General features: G+C 43.1%; 1 long non-coding RNA gene across 3 annotated transcripts in view, besides 3 other annotated features; it reads left to right on the top strand.

Annotated features, from left to right (window-relative positions):
* The window catches only part of CTB-30L5.1 (uncharacterized), a 28937-nt gene extending 14380 nt beyond the window's left edge, over positions 1-14557 (top strand). For 2 of the 3 annotated variants that reach the window (NR_187787.1, NR_187788.1), the window contains 2 exons: positions 11308-11520; positions 13324-14557. This is a non-coding gene — a long non-coding RNA (uncharacterized CTB-30L5.1). The remainder of the gene's footprint in view (positions 1-11307; positions 11521-13323) is intronic. The other variant, NR_187786.1, reaches the window with a different exon arrangement.
* Positions 15278-16243: an enhancer, noted in NCBI's record as "NANOG-H3K27ac hESC enhancer chr7:106208671-106209636 (GRCh37/hg19 assembly coordinates)". NCBI's record gives its function as "activates a minimal SCP1, AML or CMV promoter by ChIP-STARR-seq in naive H9 embryonic stem cells {active_cell/tissue: H9 hESC(naive)}" and the evidence as "EXISTENCE:reporter gene assay evidence [ECO:0000049][PMID:30033119]".
* Positions 16244-17209: an enhancer, noted in NCBI's record as "H3K27ac hESC enhancer chr7:106207705-106208670 (GRCh37/hg19 assembly coordinates)". NCBI's record gives its function as "activates a minimal SCP1, AML or CMV promoter by ChIP-STARR-seq in naive H9 embryonic stem cells {active_cell/tissue: H9 hESC(naive)}" and the evidence as "EXISTENCE:reporter gene assay evidence [ECO:0000049][PMID:30033119]".
* Positions 17210-18175: an enhancer, noted in NCBI's record as "H3K27ac hESC enhancer chr7:106206739-106207704 (GRCh37/hg19 assembly coordinates)". NCBI's record gives its function as "activates a minimal SCP1, AML or CMV promoter by ChIP-STARR-seq in naive H9 embryonic stem cells {active_cell/tissue: H9 hESC(naive)}" and the evidence as "EXISTENCE:reporter gene assay evidence [ECO:0000049][PMID:30033119]".

Genomic DNA, 18231 nt, shown 5'->3' with positions numbered 1-18231 from the left:
TCTTCCATCCTACTGTGTGGGATGCACATGCTGCTATCTTGGCTCATGGGATCAAGGCCACCTATGGCAATGCAACCAGATAGAAGGACCCTGGGCTTCTGGCATCAGGAGTCAACGGGTCTTAACATTCTTCCTAAACGTTGATGTAAGAGAAATCAACTACAACCCTGTTTGAGCTACTGTCATTTAGGTGATGGAGTGGAAATGGGGGGTGGGGAGGCTGTCTGTCACTCACAGCTGAACCTCATTCTAACTAACAAACATTGGGTCTGCCATTTTGGTATTAAGTCATGATATGGTTTGGCTCTGTGTCCCCACCCAAACCCCATGTTGAATTGTAAATCCCCAGTGATGGGGGAGGCACCTGGTGGGAGGTGATTGAATCATGGAGATGGATTTCCCCCTTGCTGTTCTCGTGATAGTGAGTTCTCATGAGATCTGATGGTTTAAAAGTGTGTGGCCCTTCCCTTTTCGCTCACTCACTCTCTTGCTCTGCTGTGATACAACATGCTTGCTTCCCCTTCCACCATGATTGTAAGTTTCCTGAGGCCTCCCAGCCATGCTTCCTGTTAAGCCTGTAGAACTGTGAGTCAATTAAACCTCTTTTCTTCATTATGCAGTCTCAGGTAGTTCTTCATAGCAGTGTGAGAACAGACTAATACAACTCACCACCTAGATTAAGTTCCTTTTGTTAGCCTTGCATATTTATGTGTGTGTATACTCTTTTTATATAAAGCAGTTTGGTGAAGTCTTTTATTAGCATGCATGTATAACACCCATATTTCTGTTATCAGTTGGTAGGAAGCCTGGAAAGAGTCAATTCTGCAAGTAGACTCATTCTTTTTTAGCGATTTTCAAAATCTGTGTCAAGAAAGGGATGAAGACTTGATTCATTTTCCCCTTTGGATATTCTCCAATATGAAAGTAATTGAGGGACTGGTTTGACTGAGGGTAGAATGTAACTGTCAAAGTTATTGACCAGAGTAGAAAAACAGCTTTTCAACATTCTGTGAGTATCAGCTATTTTGGGGGCTCTCTGGTCTAGGATGACGTCACATGTGTGGTGGTTGGCTGGCTGTCAGCTGAGTCAATGGGTGGCTAGACCATGTGTCTTTGATTATCCAGCAGGCTAGCCTGGGTTTGTATATATAATGGGGGCAAGGTTCTGAGTGAGAAATATGCAAGGTCTCTAGAGGCCTTAGCTCAGAACTAGCATGCTGTCGCTTGCATCACATTCTATGTCAAAGCAATTCACAAGGCTAGTCCAGATTCAGAAGGTGGGGAAATAGACTCCACTTCCTGATGGTAGGAGCCACAGAGTTACATTGTAATGGGTGTGGATACAGGGAGGGGTGGAGAAATGCAGCCATTTTTGTAACCAGTCTAACACTCTATGATTCTTGCATTAAAAACTCTTTGATCATGCGGATCAAACAAGACAGGATACTCCCAAGAAAGCACATCAATTCTTTTGTGGATTAATGAAGATACTAGAATAGTTGTGATTTCTTAGTTGAAAATCAGGGGATTACAGCTTCATTTCTCAGGTTCTCTATCAAATCACTATAATGTAACTCAGTTTCTAATTTAATCTCATTTTACCTTAAACCATACCAGCCAGATAATGACAATCACAGGATATGTGTGACAGTAGAAGTAGTCATTAAGTAGCCTTTACCGCTGAACCCTACTACTCATTCATTGATAAAATTCTAGGCTCTTTGCTAGGGGGTAGGGATGCAAAATGAGTAAGACTCAACTCCTCCTGGAGCCATTGTCTAGTTAGAGATGAAACCAACTTAGAAGAATACACTGCAGTAGGTAAAAATAACAGGTGCACATGGGGCAAGGATGACATAGGAGGGTTGTCTCTGGTGGCAGAATCAGGGATGACATTCCCAGTACCCGCCACTATGCTCACTTTCCTAACAGTCCCCATGGCCCCCCAGGGGCTCTCTCACACTAGGCCACATTGTGCTCCTAGTTGCTACTGAGACTGTAAACTCTGAATATCTGAGATGGGTCTCAGTTAATTTAGAAAGTTTATTTTGCCAAGGTTGAGGACACGGGCCCATGACACAGCCTCAGGAGGTCCTGATGACATGTGCCCATTGTGGTCAGAGCACAGTTTGGTTTTGTACATTTTAGGAAGAAATCAGACATCAATCAACATATGTAAGATGAACATTGGTTCGGTCTGGAAAGTTGGGACAACTTGAAGCAAAGGCAGGACAACTCAAAGCAGGGAGGTGGCTTCCAGGTCATAGGTCATACTAATTTGGGGGGCCCAAGATTTATTTTACTTTCACAAGAGCAAAGGCACCATGCGGTGCCTCTGTCTGGGCTACTCTGGCAGCTCCTGTGGCTGTTCATTCCCAGATAGCAGAGTTCTCTCTTTTCAGGGTTGTTTACGAGGCTTCCACCAGGATGGGCTTGTCTTCCAAGTGCCTTACAGCAAACCCGAGCTTTCAAGTTTTATTTTTTTTCTCCAAGACCTTTAGGTCTTTCATATTCACCTTTTTCTCAAGAAATGTGATAAAAAGGAAAAAGGATGTAAAGCTCCTCTGTGGATGGATAGCATTTGAAAGACCAAACAATACCACTCCTCAAAGTAATTCCTTTTCTTCTTTCCAGTTTTTATTTTAGGTTTGGGGGGTCCATATGCAGGTTAGTTATATGGGTAAATTGCATGTCATGAGAGTTTTGTGTACAGATTATTTCATCACCCAGGTAATAAGCATAATACCCGATAGGTAGTGTTTTGATCCTCTCCCTCCTCCCACCCTCCATCTTCAAGTAGACCAGTGTCTACTGTTCCCTTCTTTGCATCCATGTGTATGCAATGTTTAGCTCCAACTTATAAGTGAGAACATGCAGTATTTGGTTTTCCGTTCCTATGTTAATCCACTTACGATAATGGCCACCAACTCAATCCATGTTGCTGCAAAGGACATCGTCTCATTCTTTTTATGGCTATGTAGCATTCCATGGTGTTTATGTACCACATTTTCTTTATCCAGTCCTCCACTGATAGGCATTTAGGTTGATTGTGTGTCTTTGCTATTGTAAATAGTTCTGTGATGAACATATGCATACATGTGTCTCTATGGTAGAATGATTTATATTCCTTTGGATATATACCTAGTAATGAGTTTGCTGTGTCAAATTGTAGTTCTGTTTTAAGTTCTTTGAGAAATCTCCAAATTGCTTTCTACAGCTCCTAGATCTGATAAACAACTTCAGCAAAGCTTCAGGATACAAAATCAAGGTGCAAAAATCAGGAATTCTTATTAGCAAGCACTTGGTGACCCAGGATGAACGTAGCCTCAAGATGAGCTCTCCCCATGGTTGGTGATACCCTTTGTCATTTTCCCATTAAAGAGTCCTTGGCTGGCACAATAGACCTCTCCAAATCCTTTGAGCCATCTCTTCCAGAGACCACCCAGACTCTCATACAAATGCAGCCTGTGACCATTCTACATCTCCTGAGGTGGAAATGCTGATTGGGTATCCTGTTGTCACCCTCACCAAATTTCTCTTGTAGTTAGATTTCTCAGTGTTTATATGATAACAATTTTTAAAATGCAGTCTGCCTTTAGATGAGCCAGAAAATCTCACCTTTCTAAATAAAGGGTCATAGCTAAATATACTGCCTATAGTGGGGGTCGGCTTGGAGCTGCTGTCTTTTGATTCTGGAGACTGAAGTTAAAGCCAGTAGCATGGAGGTTCAAATAATTAGTAATACAATTTTTCTCTTATGGACAAAGCTTTTCAGGAAGATATTAAAGGATAGAATTAGGCTTTTTAATTAAAAGTTTTGAGGCAGCATCTTAACTCTGTCACCCAGGCAGGAGTGCAGTGGTGTGATCATGACTCACTGCAGTCTCAACCTCCTGGGCTCAAGCCATCCTCCTGCCTCAGCCTCCTGAGTAGCTTGGACTACAGGTGTACACCACCACACCCATCCACTCTTCCCCACCCCTTCCCTATAGAGACAGTGTCTTGCTGTGTTGCCCAGGCTGGCCTCAAATTCCTGGGCCCAAGAGATCTGCCTGCCTCGGCCTCCCCAAAGTGCTGGGATTACAGGTGTGAAACTACATTCTAGTGCATGCTCATTAAGCACTTACAGAGAGGCCTGCTGGACTCTACACTAAGTACCTTACCCACATTATCTTACTTAATCTTCACCACAATCATGCAAAGTAGAAACTATCATTATATAGGTGAGGATTTTTTTAAAAATTTTTTTGAGACAGAGTCTCTTGCTCTGTCACCCAGGCTGGAGTGCAGTGGCATGATCTTGGCTCACTATAACCTCCGCCTCACAGGCTCAAGCAATTCTCGTGCCTCAGCCCCCCAAGTAGCTGGGACTACAGGCATGCACTGCAACACTCAGCTAGTTTTTGTATTTTTAGTACAGATGGGGTTTCGCCATGTTGCCCAGGCTGGTCTTGAACTCTTGCTCTCATGTAATTGCCTGCCTCAGCCTCCCAAAGTGCTGGGATTACAGGCATGAGCCACCATGCTGGCCCAGATGAGGAAATTGAGGTCATGGAATCCTGAGTGGTGACGCAGGAATGTGAACCCAGGGAGTCTGATTCCAGGTCTGCTTTTCATCTCTTTGCTGAAAGTTCTGAATGGTGGCCAGCAGACAAAACTCGGCTTACAGAGGTTTTGGCTTTGGCTCACACCGATGTTTCACGAAAAAATAAATATGTATTTCTTGAAACTCTCTAGTTTGCCACAGTCCCCCCTATTTCCTATTCTTTCTAACCCAGCCTGCTTCTTTCATGGACCTGTCTGAAGGCATTTGGATTTTGATTTCTGTGCACTTTTAACACACCTTCCTCCTAGGGTAATTCCACACACCTTTCTCATTTCTCAGTTCCATTAACTGCACCTCAAGTAACTTCTCTATTGCAAGCAATTCCCTCACTCTTACTCTTTTTTCTCCTTCTTGTTTCTCTTTAATTTCCTGCAAAGTTACTTCAGTGTCTCTCAAACTTTCTTACTTTTTCTTTTTTATTTTTTGAGATGGTATTTTGCTCTTATTGCCCATGCTAGAGTGCAATGGCACGATCTCGGCTCACTGCAACCTCTGCCTCCCAGGTTCAAGCGATTCTCCTGTCTCAGCGTCCCGGGTAGCTGGGATTACAGCCATGCGCTGCTACGCCTGGCTAATTCTTTGTGTTTTTTTTAATAGAGATGGGGTTTCACCATGTTAGCCAGGCTGGTCTCAAATTCCTGACTTCAAGTGATCCACCTGCCTGGGCCTCCCAAAGTGCTGGGATTACAGATGCGAGCCACTGCGCCCGGCACCCCCCCGCCCGGCTTTTTTTTTTTTTTTTTGTGACGGGGTCTCACTTTGTTACCCAGGCTGGAGGGCAGTGGTGCAATCATGGCTCACTGCAGCCTTGACCTCCTAGGCTCAAGTGACCCTCCCACCTCAGCCTCCTAAGTAGCTGGGACTACAGGCATATACCACCACACCTGGGTAATTGTTTAAATTTTTGTAGAGATGGGGTCTCACCATGTTGCCCAGGCTGGTCTCGAACTTCTGGGCTCAAGCAATCCTCCTGCTTCAGCCTTCCAAAGTGCTGGGATTACCGGTGTGAGCCACTGCACCTGGCTTTCTTAATCTTCTGTTTTAGATTGCTGTCCTCCATTGGCTATGAATGTGGCTGATGTCCCTCCCCTAAGATTATTGGCAATAATACTATATGAATATAGCATGAAGAACAAAGAAGAACGTGAGCATGGACAGAATACAATAAGCTAATTCCCTTAAAGTCTAAAACATTTTTGAAAATCCAATATATGTTTTCAGCTCTCAGTTAAAACTAAACAGAGTGATTGGTTAAGCCTTCTGAGCTTTTCTTCTCCATTAAAATGGCATTAAGGAGAAATACCAAGTTTTGATGTGTTTGTATTTTCCTGTTTTGTTTTAACCTTAGTCTAATTTTGCCCGGGAAGCAAATCATAGTTTATAACGTTTTTATGAAAAAAAAATTCAAATTCCAAACAGTTGGCTGACAAATGCAATTTTGAAACAATTCATTTATGTCTTTCTGTGCAGAGTACTTTAGAAGTTGAACCTTCTTTTTTGTTGAACTATGAATTCCTTGACATCTTCCATTTAATATTCTGAAATCTCTGTGTGATATACAAATGCAGACATACCAGTTATAAATTCTTATTTTACTAATTGTACCTATCCTTTCTCCTAGTATTCCTGTAATAGCAGCCTCACTGAGGTGAGTTCGCCAAATAGTTGATGATAATTCTATTTCAAGCCATTCTAGGTAAATTCAAAGTACTACTTTCTTTTTATGTTAGACTAAGCGAGATGAAACAAGATGATCTTTTCCAGCTGCCAGTGTTAAAAAAAATATTCAAAGTAGCCACTAACCATATGTAGGTATTGAGAACTTAAAAGGTGACTAGTTCTAATTGAGATGTGCCATAAATGAAAATACATCCCAGATTACAAAGACTTAATAAAACATGTAAAATAGTTATAGCTTTATATTGATTGCTTGTTGAAATAGTTTTTTTATATGTTGGGTTAAATGAAAACATTAAAAAATTTAAGAAATTTGAACATGTTGGGCAGGTATTTGTAGATGAAGAGCAATGAAGGTAAATTCTTGACACAGTATGTACAATTGAGCATCTACTCAGCAAAGTAGATGAGTGGTTCTTTGGTTTGTCATAGAGTAAAATTGACAGGAGAGAAGGAATTTTGCTCTTTGAGCAGAACGCTTTTAAATTCAACCTTCGTGTTGTAATCATGAGAGAAGGCAAGAAAGAACAAACACTGATTGAGTCTCTCATGTTGCTAGTGCTGGGAGAGTAATGCACATCCCTAAGAAGGGGTGCTGATAGCACACTCCCCTTCCAAGAGGTGGGAGTAGGCAGCCCTTTCCAGGTTGCCATCCACAAAGGGTAGCTAGTGTGGCTGCAGAATACTTCCAGGTATACATTCCTTCTTTCCCTCCGTGTATTTTTTCCTCACCTCTATTCAAACAGTCAGTCCACTCCGTGTTCCTTGCCTCAGAAGGCATGAGGCAGATTGGAAAACAGAAGTGGTCTTGCTGACTTTTGTTTTCCAAAAGCCTAATTCCTAGTGGTCTGGGAAGAGGGAAGAGGCAGAACAAGATTTTCTGATATAAACAATATGTAGAAGAAGCCAATGTTAGATTGGAGCTTCACTCTGGATAAAGACCACCCCCTCCAGAGTTAGGGGGAGAAAAAGAGGACTGTGGGTCCAGAAACAGCAGGGATACCTTGAGGTAGCAGGACCCTAGAGGCGAGGCTGCATAGTGTGTCTAGGCAGAAGGGCTGTGGGCAGCCTGGCCAAAGAATTCTGTGGAACACCAGCAGTGGAGACCACCAGACTATGACGCCTTGTGGGCCTGGACAGCAGCTGCCTCAATGGTCACCTGGAGCACGTGGACACTCCCACGTCAGAGAAGTGGCACTTTGTAGGACCCCAGAACTGTGGCACATCATGGGGAAAAGGGAATGTACCCTAAAGTTAAATTTTCTACCACTACAGTGGAATGTGGCTTTAGCCAGAAATTAATTCAAATCAGAGACAATAGACAGCGATATTTATTTTGCAGTCTGTTTATAGACTTGAAGAATTGTCCCTACTACAATAGTGACGAAAACAGTTTGGAGCCATGAGCTCCTCTTCTCTCTGCCATGTATTTTCCCTGGATATCTCCTCTCAGTACATAAACATGTAGGGGTACAAGGTAAGATTAGATTGTCCTTTCTTTTGATGTTGTGAGTTTTGCATCTCTAGGAACTTGCCATTCACATTGCTTCACAGCTTCCCCTCAGCAGGGAATCTGGTGAGATTCCCCCCACTCCAGTATGGGTTAAGGGCCTGCATCCTGAAGGGATCATGCCCAGTGAACTAGGACATATTACTGCTTCAGACAGTTTTTCTTATGATAGTAAAATGATGTCTTTCTTTTTTAAAATTGTATTTAATTTCTTTAACATGTACATACTTATTTTTAAATGGACAGATAAAATTTTATACATTGTGTACAACAAGATGTTTGAAGCATATAGACATTGTAGATGTGTTTTCCTTTTTATAAGATATAGTTTTACAAATTGGAAAACCAGGGTGATTTTAAAAACTTACCTACATGCCACTTTAATGGGCAAAGCTCTTATTTAGGGAGACAATTATGCTCCATCCCTAGCACAGCTGATCAACTCACCCCTGTCTCTCTCTCCCTATGGTAAAAGTTCCTTCAGAATAGAAAATGCCAAGCTGGTGCCTTTAACTGTATTTGGGAACATTCTTATCTTCTCTGTCTTTCCTGCCATGTGTTGTGTTCCTGTGTTCTGCTTTTCTCTCCCAACCTTCCTTCCCTGTTCTAAGTTCAGTGGAGAAAAATGTTAAAATATTATTCTTTTTAAAAAATACATACTGCTATTTGCTTTCTATTAGAAGGAAGGAAAAGCAATAATCAATATTTAAACTCTTAATATCCAGACCTTAGAATGTGTCAGGAAATATGGGGAGATTAAAAAGTAGAGGGGAAGACAATAGAAGAATTTCCATTCCTTGGTTCAGGGAACAAATAAAACTTTCAATGTGTAAATGTTATATTGGCACATTAGTTATCAGTTGCCTTTGACAAATATAACATTGCTGGTGCTGAAGAGAATCTAGGTCTCATTAGCCTTTTCTAGCACTGCATCCATATGGCAAGTTCAGGGGCTGAGGTCCGAGTTCTTTGTTCATCCCAGGCCATGCATGTCTTGTGCCAGGCAGGCACTTAGTGAATGTTTGCTGATGTTGCGAACTATTCCCATCCTACCACAAGGGCAGGAATAGCCAATGCAGCATCCAAACCCAAATTACATAGAATAAAACAATCACAGAGCCATGGTATTCTCAAGTAGAAAGGGTCCTTGGAGACAGTCTGGTATAACCCCTTGATTTTACAAAGAAAGGGAGGCCAAATGAGGTCAACGGACATGTCCACAGTCTTATCACTGGTTAGTGCTAGAGTTAAGGGCCACAACTTCTGATACTCAGCCTTATGTTCTTGCTGTCCAATTAGTTAATAACTTGAATGACAACTATGGCTTAACCAAGCCACAGAAATGTAGCAGAACCGAGCACATCAAACCTAGTGGTGGACAATGAGAAGTTGTGGGCCTAATACGGGCAGTGCCTGTCCTGCCTGAAAACGTTCACATTTCCCTCTGTATGAGTTTCCTAGTGATGCCATAACAAATTACCCCAAACAATGGCTTAAAACAACACAAACCTATGATCTTACACTTCTGAAGGTCTGAAATCCAAAGAGGGTCTCACTGGGCTAAGGTTGAGGTGTTGGTGGGGCGACGTTCATTCTGACGGCTCTCAGGAGAGTTTGTTTTCAGCCTCTAGAGGCCATCTGCATTCCTGGGCTCACAGCTCTAGCTTCAAAGCTGCCATGGTCAGCAGTGACTCTCATGGTGCCATCCCTCTGGTTCTGACTCTTCTGCCCAGCACATGCCCTTTTAAAGGATTCTTGTAATTACACTGGGCCAAGCCAGACAACCCAGGATAATCTCACTATCAAGAAATCTTCAATTACCTCTGCAGAATCCCCTTTGCCGTATAAGGTAACATATTCACAGATTCTGGCGATTGGGATGTGGACATCTTTGGGGGCTGTGATTCTGCCTGCTATACTTTTTTTTTTCTTTTTTCTTTTTTTGAGACGGAGTCTCACTCTGTCGCCCAGGCTGGAGTGCAGTGGCGTGATCTCGGTTCACTGCAACCTCTGCCTCTTGGGTTCAAGTGATTTTTCTGACTTAGTCTCTCAAGTAGCTGGGACTACAGGTGCGTGCCACCACACTCGGCTAATTTTCATATTTTTAGTAGAGATGGGGTTTCACCACGTTGGCCAGGCTGGTCTTGAATTCCTGACCTCAGGTGATCTGCCCGTCTTGGCCTCCCAAGGTGCTAGGATTACAGGTGTGAGCCACTGCGCCTTGCTTGCCTGCTATACCCTTTATAAAAAGAGCCAAACTAAATACCCTTGCAAGCTGGATGTAGCCCATGAATGGACTGCCAGATCCTCAATTTACTGCCATGCTGAGTGTCATGAAGGCACATAAGAAATTTGAGAAAATCTCTAACCTGGAGGACAGTCAGGCTGGAGAATGAAGACTCACCCACAAAGCAACGAGGTGCTGTGTGCCAGGAAGGGAAGCGCCATCCTGCACGGAGGCTGTGAGTGCCACCAATGGCTTTCTCTGTCCTACTAAATGCCTAGAAGTCTTGCATCTCAAAATTTCAGTTGGGGAAGAAACCCAAGTTATGATTTATTCATCTTTGAGCAAACAGAAGCCTTTTGTGGGGAAATGACAGAGTGAGTGAGTGGCTGAACTGGGATTAGAGTTCTGGTATCCTAAGGCCCAGCTCGGTTCTCCTGCCACCCTACAGGTTGTTCACTACCAACACTCTTGCCTAACATTCAGTGACTCTGCTTTGCCAGCCACTGCTACCTTCTCCGATGACCCAAGATGACCTTTCTCTCACGTTACTCTCCTTATCATCCCAGGACAATGGCACCAAACTTGTTCCCACTGATATACCTATTCATCTACATCTTTGTTCATTTGTCACTCATATATTGAGCACCTTCTATTGCTAGACTTTGAAGCAAGCTCTGCAAACACAAAGGCAAATAAGATCCCATCCTCCCTCTTTAAGGGGCTTCAGGTCCGGTGCAGCAGTTCCCACCCTTGTTATGCCATGTACAAATGGTGGAGGACTGTTCACTCCTTTGTGAAGTGTGTGAGTGTGTTCACTCCTGCTGGCTATAATCCTGGGTACACTGCCTCCTTCCTTTCCCTCTTAGAGGAAACAGCAGAAAGAAGGCCAGTGGGTGAGAGCACTATTACTCAAGGGAAAACTTCCATCTTTTCTAAGTTATACACAATCATTAAAGTACCTTATCTGCAAATATATACAAGTAGCAAATGACTTGGGTCATGCTGCTATGACTTGCAGGTAGGAACCTCTAATTTAGTGGTTCATGTGGTTCTTCTTCCTTAGAATGCCCTTTTCTTTTTTTTCCCCCTCTCTTTTTAGCTTTTTATTTTTTTTCTAGAGATGGGATCTCACTATGTTGTCCAGGCTGGTCTCTGACTCACCTTAAGCAATCCTCCCACCTTGGCCTCCCCAAGTGCTAGGATTACAGGCATGAGCCACTGCATCCAGCCTTCTTTTTGTTTTAAGTGAGCACTGAGGAGTTCTAACTAGTTCTCATTTTCCCAAAGAGAAGAAAAGCAACTCGGAGATAAGAAACTCCACACCCTTTTGAGGAGAGAACTTGACATCTGAATTTTCATGTTTGTGTTCTTTGAACAAACATCATTAAAGCATACCAAATCTACACCCAGTAAAAGTTTTGGATGAAGACAGACAAAAATGTGAATGGACTACAATGGAAGATGCACAGACATATATTAACCAGGTACAGTAAGCTCGAGGTGAGTCAACAGTGGGCAGTGGTGGCCAAAAATGCCATGCCATCGCAGGCAGCATAAATGAATGACAGACTCTCCAGTTAGGGAGGGAATGGCCACACAGCACTCCAGAGCTCAGACCACAGCTGAATGCTGCATTTAGATTTAGGAAATACTCTCTGAAAGAGCTAAAGACAAACTTAATTATGTTTAGAGGAGTGTGCCCTGAAGAGACAGTGTGGGGTCCTGGTAAGAACATGAACTCTGGAGGCAGCAAGATGGGTTTGAATCCATCTGCCACTTACCTTATCAGGTAGTGACCTTGAGCAGTTTGCATACCTAACCCCTTCATGCACAATTTTTCCATCTGTGAAATGGTCAGAAAGTGAGGGTTGCATGAGTCCAAATGCTTAGAATAGTGCCTGAGACAGAGTAGGTCTGGGTGAAAGATACTTAAGAAAAGTGAAGGGCTGGGCATGGTGACTCACACCTGTAATCCCAGCACTTTGGGAGGCTGAGGTGGGTGGATCACCAGGTCAGGAGTTCAAGACCAGTCTGGCCAAGATGGCGTAACCCTGTCTCTACTAAAAATACAAAAATTAGCTGGGCACGGTGGCAGGCGCCTGTAATCCCAGCTACTCGGGTGGCTGAGGCAGGAGAATCGCTTGAACCCGGGCGGCAGAGGTTGCAGTGAGCCAAAATCGCAGCACTGCACTCCAGCCTGGGTGACAGAGTGAGACTCTGTCTAAACAAAAAAAAAAAAGAGAAGAAAAGAAAAGAAAAAAGAAAAAAAAATAAAGGAACTCAGCATCCGAGAAACTCCTGTGAAAAGTATTACAAGGAACTGGGAGTGTTAACCTGAAGAGGAGGAAGTTAGGGAAGCTGACAGAAGTCACCTGTCTAAGGGAAGAGACTTACTGTCAGTTCCAATGAGAGGAAGCTTCATGCAGGTATGTTTCACACTCAAACAGCTCAGCTCCCAAAGCAATGTGGTCAAAAGACCACTAGATGAATCAGGAAATGTTTGGTTACAAGGAACGGAACCTTAGGACAGATTAGAAAAAATAAAGGGAGAATTTATAACACAACCTCAGAAGCCAGGGCTAGAGTGACTTCAGTCACTCCTGGGTTCACATCATGGTTGTAGAAGTCCATCTCCATTCCTGGCCTCTGCATCCACTGCTGTCTTTCCCCATGGTGGGCTCTTAGAGGACAGGCATTGGGGATGCAAGCTCGGTGGCTCCAATTCACACTCCTACAGGTCACCCATTCACTAAGGTAGCACCCTCCAGGGATCGCCTTCCAATAAAACTCTGTGACCCAGGAGAATGATGCTGATTGGCTCAGCCTGAGTTCCATGTCACCCTGAACATGGGCAGGGGGGTGTAGGGGAAGGAGCCCCCTGCCTAAAGCTCATAGTCTGAGAATGAGGTGGTTCCCCAAAATAAAAACTCCAGCTGCTTAGCTGAAGAAGGGGGAATGAGGGATGGACAGGTGAACAGAGCAGATGTCCACTCAGACGCTGTCTATGCCACCAAGACAGGTCAGAATAAATAAAGCCCTTGGTTTTCTTGTTCCACACGAGGGCTATGCAGAAGTCTTCAGCAACTTCCTACCCTCTGTCATTCCCATGCCAGGGCTGCCCTCAGCACCATTCTCCCCAACCAAAGCATCCCTCTCCTCCGCCTTCCCACCTGTTTCTCTTATAGGAAACCTGAGAACTGTCCTGACAGGTAGGACTGGGGAGAGGACAGGCAAGAGTGTGTGTGGGGGGGAGTGTGGGGCGGGGGGAGGAGGGCTACTTGCAACTTTATTGCGTTATCTCAGCACATCAGGAAATAGAGTTCAACCAAGTTGGAAGGTCGGCCTTGGAAGACACTGAGTTCCTGACCCTGGAGGACAGGCTGTGTTCATTCAGGACCTGGAGGTTTTCAAACTCTCTCAATGCCCTGCTGCTGCATTTGAACTGTATACAAGTCCACTTCCTGTGTCTTTGAAGAGGAAATTTCTCATCTGCTATCAAGGGTGTTGCTAATAATTTAAAGATCGGGTTTTTTTTCTGCATTTTAGTCTGGCACATCTGGGACTCAAGTTTCAAGTGCTGAGTCTTGTAAGGACTGTTCTGCAGCCAAAAACCAGGAAAGGGGAAACAGAAGCAAAAAACCAATCACAAGTGAAAAAACTCAGCCAGCCTAATTAAATATTTGGAATCAAAAATTGTTGGCCACCTGGAAGGGGAAACACCCTTTTCATCCTGTCATTCATTTCTTAGCTAAATAATGGGTTCAATATACATAATTCCAAAACCAAAATTAGAATTTTTGGAAGACGCCCCCAATATTTAGGCATTTTATCTCCTGACCAGTTTGTCTTGGAAGGTATTCCAGGCCAGGAAATTCTAATGTATTTCTCTATGTTAAAAGACATATAGGAGATTTTTATTTATTGGTCAAGGTGGATACGTGGGAACACCTGCTTTAAAATGCTCAAGACTGGGATTATGACTCTGATCAAGTAAAACTCTAGAGCCTCAAGATCTGTTGAAATGGAGAAGATAAAAACTGCTGGGTCCCTGCTTGCCCTTCCCCACCCAAAATTTCTTGGCCCTGACCCTGATCCTCCTCCCTCAGACCACCTGTAGATGAAGGTGGAGTAGCCTTCCACTGAGACATCATGAGGCTCTCTGGCTGTCATAAGGAGGGCATCAACCGACTGTGGAAATATAGTTTTGTATTTCATCAGCATCATAGAATATCATCTCAAACTCACTGAGGGCCAACAGTGTTTATAGACTCAGTTATGAAGAATTCTGTTTTAAGGAGAATTACCTGAAAGAGATGTAATCCTGATACTTTAAAATTTATCTTTGGGTTTGTAGACCCTCAGCGAGCAGCCTACATGGGCCACTCAGTTCTGGCTCCCCACTGACTTACTGAGCCCAGCTTTGGCATTCTGCTATTTGCACACTTGGGTGGGGGGTGGGGGGAGTAGAAAGCTGTGCCAAGAAATGTGATGTTGTACTTACTCTAATTGTTATAAAGTTTTGGTGCCGCAAAAGAAATAGCACGCGAATATAAAATTTTATTTTTAATTCTCAGCAAGGCAAGTTACTTCTACAGAAGAGTGTGCCCTTACAGATGGAGCAATGATGAGCGCACACTTGGACAAGGGAAAGGAAGGGGTTCTTGTCCCTGATGGGCACGTGGCCCCTCTGCTGTGTCGTTCCTCTATTGGCTAGGGTTAGACAGCACAGGCTAAACTAATTCCGATTGGCTAACTTAAAGAGAGTGGCGGGGGTGAGTGGTTTGGCGGGAAAAATGGTTATGACAGAGCAGGTAATCAGAATGAGTCAGGGTGGAGAATGTAATCGGAAAAGGTTGCTTTATGAGGAAGTTTAAAAGTAGAAGACAAATAATTGAACATACTGACATATTCTTTGAAATTTAGAACTCATATCTAACATAAGCAGGCTTGGGGAAACCATTCACTACTGTTTTAGGGTTCCTCCGGCATGAACTGGAATCCCAGTATGTACTTTTATTTGCAGCAGACACTAGTTCCTGCAAATCCCAGGCCTTCAAGGGGACTGTAGAAGGTTTTGGCTAATACTCATACTTTGACCTTCCCTAAGGTAATGTGCAAGGTGGAAAAGGCTGGGAGCCTGTGCAGGTCACCTTGGGCTGTGCTGCTAGGTGGCCATTTTGCGCTGGGAAGGGACCCTGCTACTTGTTATTTTAGGCAGCAGATGGCTGTGACTCTGCAAATTTCCTCCAGGGGCTTCAATGGGGCCAATGCACTGTTTACAGTTTTAGAGCTTTAACTGACCCTTATCACTTAAGGACAGATGCTGTGCCCTGGAGCTATGGGATCTGGTCACTTTTACATAATTTGAATGTGCTCTGTAATCATCCAAGTACCGTTTTAAGCATTTAAATTCTTGCCAGCAATTAGGCTGCTGCTGAACATGGGAGATGATTGCATCACTTCACTAGTTTCAAACAGCACACTCAACCTTAGTATTTATTGCATCAGCTCAGGGCAACCTGCTCTTCCAATCAATTAAACTCCTTGTGCTTGAATATGCAATGCCTGCCAATCACACATTAAATCACCACCTCATGCTTATTTCACAATGAGCTTACTGAATGAAATGACTTCCCAAAACTTAATCAGTCCCCACCTCCGGCAAGCTGGCATTTAAAGAGATTTTCCAGTGTCTCTGGGAACAACCCTATTACATTTCTCCCTGAGGGTAAAATCTTCTCAGGTCTCCATTCCAGGAATAGCAATGCTGCTGCTGGTAGTTGCTGGCTTGTATTTGTCCCGGGACAGACACTATGAATGATGAAACTAATTGTGTTTACTGGTCCTCCCCCTGCCCCCCACCATCCATTTATTTTTGTAACACCAATAATGCATGTTTATTATGGAAAAAAACCATACAGCAAAGCAATGAAGAATAATTACCTAAATTCTCAACACCTCAAAATTACAATGGCTAAAATGTTGGTTACCCTTCCAGGCATTTGTGTTTCCTCTTTACAGTGGCTGCTAGAAATAGCCAGATACAAATCCCAGTATAAATGAGACTTTAATATAAAACAATGGGGAAAAGATGTATGATAGATGGCACTGGCCCAACTGGCTCTCCATTTGGAAGAAAATAAATATGGACTCCTTATGCCGCATGGAAAAATCCATTTCAGATTAAAATTTTAAATGTAAAAAATATAACAAGGTATTGTTTAAAAATCTGGCAGGCTATGTGTATATTCTAGGGGTGGGAGAGACCTTTTAAACTGTGACTAGAAGCTATAAAAGAAGGAAAGGAAAGACTTTTAAAATTATAAAGTCAACAGGTTAATACAAAATAAGAAAAGTACATTTGTAATGCAAGTGACAGTTTATGCCTATGATAAAAGCTCTTAAATTTGATGAGAAAAGGGCAAAATGATGAGATAAAGATGCACAAAGGATAAACACTTCACAGACATTGAAACGGCTAGCCCACATGCTCATATTCACTAGTGGTCAGAAAAAAGCAAATGGAAGTTAACAATAGAACACCATTTTACACTTAGACTGGAGAAAAGAGCTATAATATCATATGCTAGTGTTGGAGATAGGAATTGTGACATGCGTCCGTGTGAAGAGAGTCCATCAAACAGGCTTTGTGTGAGCAACAAGGCTGTTTTTTTCACCTGGGTGCAGGCGGGCTGAGTCTGAAAAAGGAGTCAGCAAAGGGTGGTGGGATTATCATTAGTTCTTATAGGTTTGGGATAGGCGGTGGAGTTAGGAGCAATTTTTGTGGGCAGGGGGTGGATCTTACAAAGTACATTCTCAAGGATGGGAAGAATATTACAAAGTACCTTCTTAAGGGTGGGGGAGAATATTACAAAGTACATTCTCGAGGGCGGCGGAATATCACAAAGTACGTTATCGCAAGGGCGGGGAGGGTGTATTGTCACAAAGTCAATTGATCAGTTAGGGTGGGGCAGGAACAGATCACAATGGTGGAATGTTATCTTTTGTGGATCTTCAGTTGCTTCAGGCCATCTGGATGTATATGTGCAGGTCACCGGGGATATGACGGCTTAGCTTGGGCTCAGAGTCCTGACAGGAATGTACTCTGATACTCTGCTGGTGAACTGTGATGTGCTAAAATCTTTTGGGAAATACATTTGACAATATCTATTAAAATTAAAAGGACACGTACCCCTCGTTCCAGCAATTGCACTCTTTGGAGTGTAGCCCAGTAGAAATAAAAGGGTAGTGTTAAGGACATACGAACACAGAGGTTTGCTGCAGCATTGTTCAGAGAGTAAAAACAGGAAAAAAGAGAATGCTCATCAACCAAGCAGTGGCTTAATAATTTATAATATTTCTCAAACAAAGTAATATTTTTAATGAATAAAAATATGAATTACAGTTAAACCAAATGATTTGGAGGGATTCCCATAAGATACTACTGAAGGAAAAAAGAGCACATATATCCTATTGAGGGAAAAAATGATAAACTCTGTGTGTGTACATCTGTATGGGATTATCTAAGTACAGAGAGCTGGACAGAGGATGCATATTAGGTTGTTGAGATTGGTTGCCATGGTCGGGGAGGAGGGAAGGCTGCTGACGTTGAAAGAGGGAGAAGAAGGGAAGGACAGAGCTCAGTTAAAAGAAGTTTAAAAAGTCACTAAAAATAAATGAAAATGTATGCATATGGCCATATTTAGGCCTCTACATAAAATTATCTGTAGATGTATGTTTTATGGGTTGAATTATGTCCCCTCAGAAAAGATATGTTGAAGTCCCAGCCCCTAGTCCCTCAGAAGGGGACTGGATTTGGAAATAGGGTCTTCACAGAGATAAGAAAGTTACAATGAGGTCATTAGGGCAGGCCCTAATCTGGTATGACTGGTAGCCTTGTGAAAAAAGAAATTTGGACACAGAATCAGACACACAGGGAAGATGATGTGAAGATGCTCGGAGAGAATGCTGTGTGAAGATGAAAGGTTGGAATCATGCATCTGCCAGCCAAGCAGCGCCAAGGATTGCTGGAAACCAGCAGAGGCCAGGAAGAGGCAGAGGATTCCCCTGTCGGTTTCAGAGGGAATGTGGGTCGGCCAACAGCATGACTTCAGACTTCCAGCCTCTGAAACTGTGAGACAAAAAATTTCTATTTTAAACAGTTTACGGTATTGTTATAGCATCGCTAGGTTGTGAATACAATGTGTGTGT

This window comes from Homo sapiens, chromosome 7 (genome assembly GCF_000001405.40).
Source record: "Homo sapiens chromosome 7, GRCh38.p14 Primary Assembly".
Lineage (NCBI taxonomy): Eukaryota > Metazoa > Chordata > Mammalia > Primates > Hominidae > Homo > Homo sapiens.
This window is presented reverse-complemented; position numbering and strand designations above follow the sequence as displayed.